This window comes from Homo sapiens, chromosome 20 (genome assembly GCF_000001405.40).
Source record: "Homo sapiens chromosome 20, GRCh38.p14 Primary Assembly".
In the NCBI taxonomy this organism is placed as follows: domain Eukaryota; kingdom Metazoa; phylum Chordata; class Mammalia; order Primates; family Hominidae; genus Homo; species Homo sapiens.
In genome coordinates this window covers 22607521-22613520 of record NC_000020.11, presented here as the reverse complement: position 1 = coordinate 22613520, position 6000 = coordinate 22607521, and the positions used below count along the sequence as shown (strand labels likewise).

Below are 6000 nucleotides of genomic sequence, written 5' to 3'. Positions count from 1 at the left end.
TGGGTTCTTCTTCTCTCTTCTGGTGTTGCATGTTGTGGCAGACATGGTGGTTTTCTACACATCGGGCAATGTCCCCATGCCTCTTCCTTGCTGTCAGATTCCCAGCTTTGTACGAGTCCTAGGGAGACACTGGTCTACCTTAGAAATTGGTGGGATATCCTGAGGGTGAGGCTGGAAATACTACAACTTGACTTCTTACCTCCTGTCAAAGAGGGTACTATGTAAGAATGTGTTCATTAAATAGTAAGCCTCCAAAGACCTTGGGAACTTATCACTTCCCTTTACCCTCAATTCATATATAAGGAAATTGGAGTTTAACAAAGTGAAGAAAGTAGCCCAAAGTGACACAATCCAGAAGTGGGACAACCAGATGCAAGCCTGTGTCATCTCTCACTGCAGGTTGTTCTAGCACACAGCACGTGCTGTCTCCAAGACCCCACCAAGCCCATGGGGTGCTTCGTTCACCAAAAACAGCACCTAATTACCCCCTCTACATAAACATTTGGCACATACCAGTACAGTGGAAAAAATATTCCTGCTGTGAACTTGCCATCCCTGTCTCCCAGCACTATGGGACAATCTGTGTGGTGATGGCGCTGGGCAGTGTTGTCCTCCCCTTCTTTTGAAGGGCTTCTAGCAGACTGTCATCCCCACTCCTACCCTCACTCCCTACCCACAAACAGTGAAGAGGAGATAGCAGGGACACGCTACTGAAAGAAAGCATTGGTTTTCAGAAATAGACTCTAAAAAGAAGGAGGTCAATGAAAATGTAGGCTATTTTTTAACGACTTAAAATTTGACAGAAAATGTCCATTCTTATCAATGTGAGAGAAGATATCTGTGACTAAGAGCAAGAAACACTGGCCAGCTCAAAGAAGGCCTGTGAGGTGTGGACCTTCAGAAAGGCCCAAGCACTCTGAAGTGCCTTTGTTTGAACGTGTCTTCTTGTTACAGTAATGAGAAAGGTGTTGCCTTAATGAGCCATATAATGCAAATTTTAATGGTAAAATTAAATTTTGAATAAACACTAAGAAAAATCAAATATTAGAAATCCATTTCTTAAAAGCTTACAACGGTGACTTGTCAATGTGCTAGGTGAACTTAAGTAAGATCATTTCAGATTATGTATGCAGTGCTGAACTATTTCAATCTAATTATGTTAAAATTGTGTTTTCATTAAGGCTTCTTCCTAATGCAAGAATGCTATTAAAATTATTTTCACTGACATTCGCCTAATAAGCTGGCTTAGAATTTGCATTTACATTTGACCAGGTAGTTGTTTTTAGAATTAGTGATGCCTCAGTGGGAACCACCCCCACCTCCCATCCAGGAAGGGCTGGTGTGAGGATTAAGGGAGACACTGCCACAGACGAAGCACAGTGTTCACAGCCTGACACACCCTGAGCACCTTATGAGGCTGACACATCATTACTGCCATTCTCAATCTCTGTCTATAATTATGCCCTCTGTGGCAACAAATATGCAAGTAAACAGGGGCAGTTGTCAGGCTCCAAATTTTGTAGCTATTTCTTAGTTACAGCCAGACATTTCTAGCCACTGACCAATGCAGAGACAGAAGATGGGAAGCCACTTCCAGGGTCCCATCACACCCTGTGGGCTGATTTCCTGGAGTATGTCTTAGTCTAGCCATTGTAATCCTCAATGGTTAGTGAGAAGAGAGGGAGGATAAGGAATGCTTAGATATTAGCAAGACAAAAGTCAGTAACACTAGGATTGCAAGGGGTTTAGGTTCATAGCTATACAGCTACCTAAGAAATAGTTGTGAGAAATGACCCTTAGAACCATGGCAGCAATGGTGCTTCCTCCACCTACTGGATTCACAGGACACATTGAGTACTCAATGACTAATCCAATTATTTACTTCACACATACTTATTAGATGTTTACCATGTGCTAGGAGCCATTCAGGTCCTGGAAATATTGCAGTGGACCAGGAAAAAAAAAGACCGCTTCATCTTAACCCTCTAGAGGGAAAGCAGATAAAAACAAGAAAATAAACTTCAGAGGGAGATGGTCTTCCCTGTCATAGTAAAAGCATTCAGTAACGTTCTGTGGAACATCCATTGGGTTCCAGACCCACCTACCCAGAGAAGTTCACCAGGGAACTTAAGAGGGTGATTACTCTTATAAGAAAAGAAAAGAAACATAACACAGAGTGAGTAGCAGTGCAGGGTTGCAGTAGGCAAGCTGAGCCTGGGTGGCAGGAAGGTAACACTTGGGCCAGGAACCAGATCCAGAAGGAGCCCACTGGTTGCCATGTAATCCCACCTCTCCTTGCTCCCAAGCCACTTCCCATAACCCTCAGGATACAGGCAAAGGACACAAGGAGGAAAGGCTTGAATTAATCTTTCAACACAGGTTGGCATTATCACATGAAGCCCAGAAGAAAAGGAGATAGAGGAATAAGCACAGGGTGGGTGAAGAGTGGTCTGGAAAGACCCCAGGGAAGTTCTAAATAAGTGACGAGATGAGGAGACCCTTAGGGAAAATCATTCACGATTATTAGACTTTCCTGATGGCATTCCTTTTAGGCTACCCGAATGTCATACAACTTTCATGACTATGGCTGATTCTAAGGTGACCCCCCAATTATCCCACCTCCTGGTATTTATGCCCTTACATAATCCTCTCCCCTTGAGTGTGGGTGAGACTCGTGACTTGCTTCTAACTGGTAGATGAATCACACAAGATTATATACAATTGGAACATCGGTCTTGCTGGTCAACTCTCTGCTTTGCTGGTGTTGGTAAATTAGCAAGGGATATGTTGGGGGCCATGTTGGTAGGCCCATGTGGAAGGGAACTGAGATGGCCTTGCCCAGCTAGAACCCAGCTAGAGACTGAGGCCCTCAATTCAACAGAAGGCAAGGAACTGAATTCTGCTAACAGCCTCATGAGCTTGGAAGTGGATCCTCCCCTGGCTGAGCCTTACAATGAGATCCCAGCCCCAGACAACACCTGGAACTCGGCATGTTGTGGGTCCTGAGGTAGAGGGCCTACTAAGCTGTGCCAGGATTCCTGACCACAGAAACCATGATATAAAAAAAAAAAAAAATGTGTGTGTTTCAAGCCTCTGAGCTTATGGCAATTTGTTATACAGCAATAGAAAACGAATACGATGGCATTCACGAAGGTTGATACAACTGCTAAAGCGTTCAGAGAACCAGGAAAGCATTACGGGGAGGGAAGAGGTCTGGAGCCCAGGGGGTTTCATAGAACATAACGTAATGTTTTTGATATGACAGGAAAGACCTGAGCACAGGAATGCTAAGAATTAAGACTTCTCACTCGTGCTTAAGAGATTGTCAGAGAGACTGAGGTGGCCAGGTGGTAAACTCTTGTTTACCACACTAATCCAGTAGTGTGGATTAATTCAGGAAATGTAGAGTCACGGCCACAGATGGATTTTTTTGCTTATTACAAAGAAAAATTAGGCTGGGTGCAGTGGCTCACACCTGTAATCCCAGCACTTTGGGAGGCTGAGGGGGGTGGCCTACTTGAGGTCAGGAGTTCCAGACCAGCCCGGCCAACATGGTGAAACCCCATGTCTACTAAAAATACAAAAATTAGACAGGCATGGTGGAGCCCGCCCACAATCCCAGCTACTTGGGAGGCTGAGGCAAGAGAAACACTTAAACCCGGGAGGGGGAGTTTGCAGTGAGCTGAGATTGTGCCACCACGCTCTAGCCTGGGTGATAGAACAAGACTCCATTTTAAATGAATAAATAAATAAACAACCCTGATTATAATAATATAATATACAAATATGATTTTTTTTAAACAAAGTCATACAAAAGTTTATAAAATAAAAAGCAAATTCTTCCTCCTCTCCCCTCAGGTTGTCAGTTCCACACCTGAAAGATTACCAGTTGTTATCATTTATTCTCTATCCTCCAGGAAATTTTCTGCATGTATCTAAGCATATGTGTGCCTTTGTCTACAAAGAGGAATAAACTATATCTGCCCTTTGCTTTTCTCGTGACACTGTGTCTTGGAGACCCCTCAGTGCCTGCGCATTGTAATTAGTCATCCTTTTTCATGGCTGCTAAAATTCCTTTGTATGAGTATGCTTTATGTAACTAGTCTCCTGCTGATTAGCATGATGTTTCCATGTTTTCACTATGACAATAAATGTGACATGTAAATCTTTGTTCACTTCTACAGTTGCAGGATGAAGAACTAGAAGCAGAATTGTGGGGACAAAGCATGGGCTACCAATCTGTCCATAAAAGCTGTACTGATTTTATTCCCATACCGCTACAAGGGCATATTTTTTAGTGAAACTTTGGCCAATACTGCATGTTAACAAATTTTAGAATTTTTGCCAATTTAATAGGTAAAATTAGTACCTAGGGTTTTAATTTGCATACATCTGATGTTTTCAAGCTTCTCACAGGTGGAATCTATTCAAAGGATCCAGAATCCAGGACAGAAGGTAGACATTAAGAATGAAGCCCTTGGTCAGGTGCTGTGGCCCACATCTGCAATCTCAATACTTTGTGATGGTAAGGGTGAAGGGTAACTAAAGACCAGCAGTTTGAGACCAGCCTGGGCAACATAGCAAGACCCTGTCCCTCCGCCACCAGAAAAAAAAAAATTACCCCGGCATGGTGGCATGAGCTTGTATTCCCAGCAACTCAGGAGGCTGAGGTGGGAGGATCAATTGAGGCCAGGAGTTTGAGGCTGCAGTGAGCTATGATCATACCACTGCACTTCAGCCTGGGCAACAGAGTGATACTCCAACTAAAAAAAATAAATAAATAAAGAATGAAACCCTTTGCGATAAATGAAAAGAAGAAACAATGTCATTTCAGAGCATCTTCTCAAGGGTAATGTACCCAGCACCCCACAGGTGGTCATGATCTTGACAGCCACCTCATGAAAGCTCAGAAACTTTCTTCCTTATCTCAAAATTGCTACATACTTTGCTTAGAGTAAGATTAGTGCATTATAAAAGAAGCAATGTGCATCAGGCACAATTAAAACATATATTTGAGTACTTGATGAACGTCAAAAATGATTTGTAATCCAAATGTCCTTCTACAGAGTCTTCAGGAAAGAACTTATGATTCTCAGGTGATCATCCTCCTAAGTGTGGCCATGCTTGAAGGTTAAAAGAGCCTAGACACTTTTCTTCTACTTTTTGTTCTTTCAAGCTGAAACTGCATCCAGTGAAAATTGCTTAACGGGGTCCCTCCATATAAACCAATAGATGTTATTTTAAAAAAAAAGACTCACAGATTTATATAAAAAAGGAAATGCTTAATTCACATGTATTCAGTTTCTGTTTTGACTGTTTTCAACAGCTTTTGAAGTAGCCTATGAGCTCACAAAGCCCTCAGCTCAGTGCAACACAAACATACAGCGAAAGCAAAGGGGCTACTCAGGTCTCTCCGTCTCGGAGAAAATATGCCAAAGACTGGATTATTTTTTAAATCTATTTTTGCAGTGAAAGGAAGCCACAGGCATCTGAATACTGGCTCTCTAGCTTGACACCTAATTTCTGCCAGGGTATGAAGAGCTCCCTTCTGAAACTGCACCTCTGGAATTTGGGTTGGTTTAAAACGAGATTGGAGCATTTGGGTGGCTTTTGTTTTTGTTTCCCGGTTCTCCTTCAGGCTGGTATTTCTTTCCTCCAAAGGACACTGTGTACTCACCACAGGGACTCCTGATTATCCCAAAACACAAATCCTGATTCATTTTTTAAAGACTCATGATTGAGGGCTCATCCTGTATTTTTGTTTTCCCCCAGCTATAGTCTACCTGAGCCAACAAAATGAGTGTATTCATTTTATTTTTAAAAGCCTCCTACAAATCTTCAGTGACTCTTTGAGTATAAAATATTCATACCTTGACTCCAAATTACAGTTGGGAGCATAACCACTCAACAAGTACTTTTAGTTCAGATTCATTTTAGATTCATACAAGCAGAAGAAGGAAACTTGGGAAACACAAAGTCTCCTTTGAAGGAAAGAAATCC

At 42.4% G+C, this 6000-nt stretch overlaps 1 annotated feature.

Annotated features, from left to right (window-relative positions):
- Positions 1303-1973: an enhancer, noted in NCBI's record as "OCT4-NANOG hESC enhancer chr20:22592186-22592856 (GRCh37/hg19 assembly coordinates)". NCBI's record gives its function as "activates a minimal SCP1, AML or CMV promoter by ChIP-STARR-seq in naive H9 embryonic stem cells {active_cell/tissue: H9 hESC(naive)}" and the evidence as "EXISTENCE:reporter gene assay evidence [ECO:0000049][PMID:30033119]".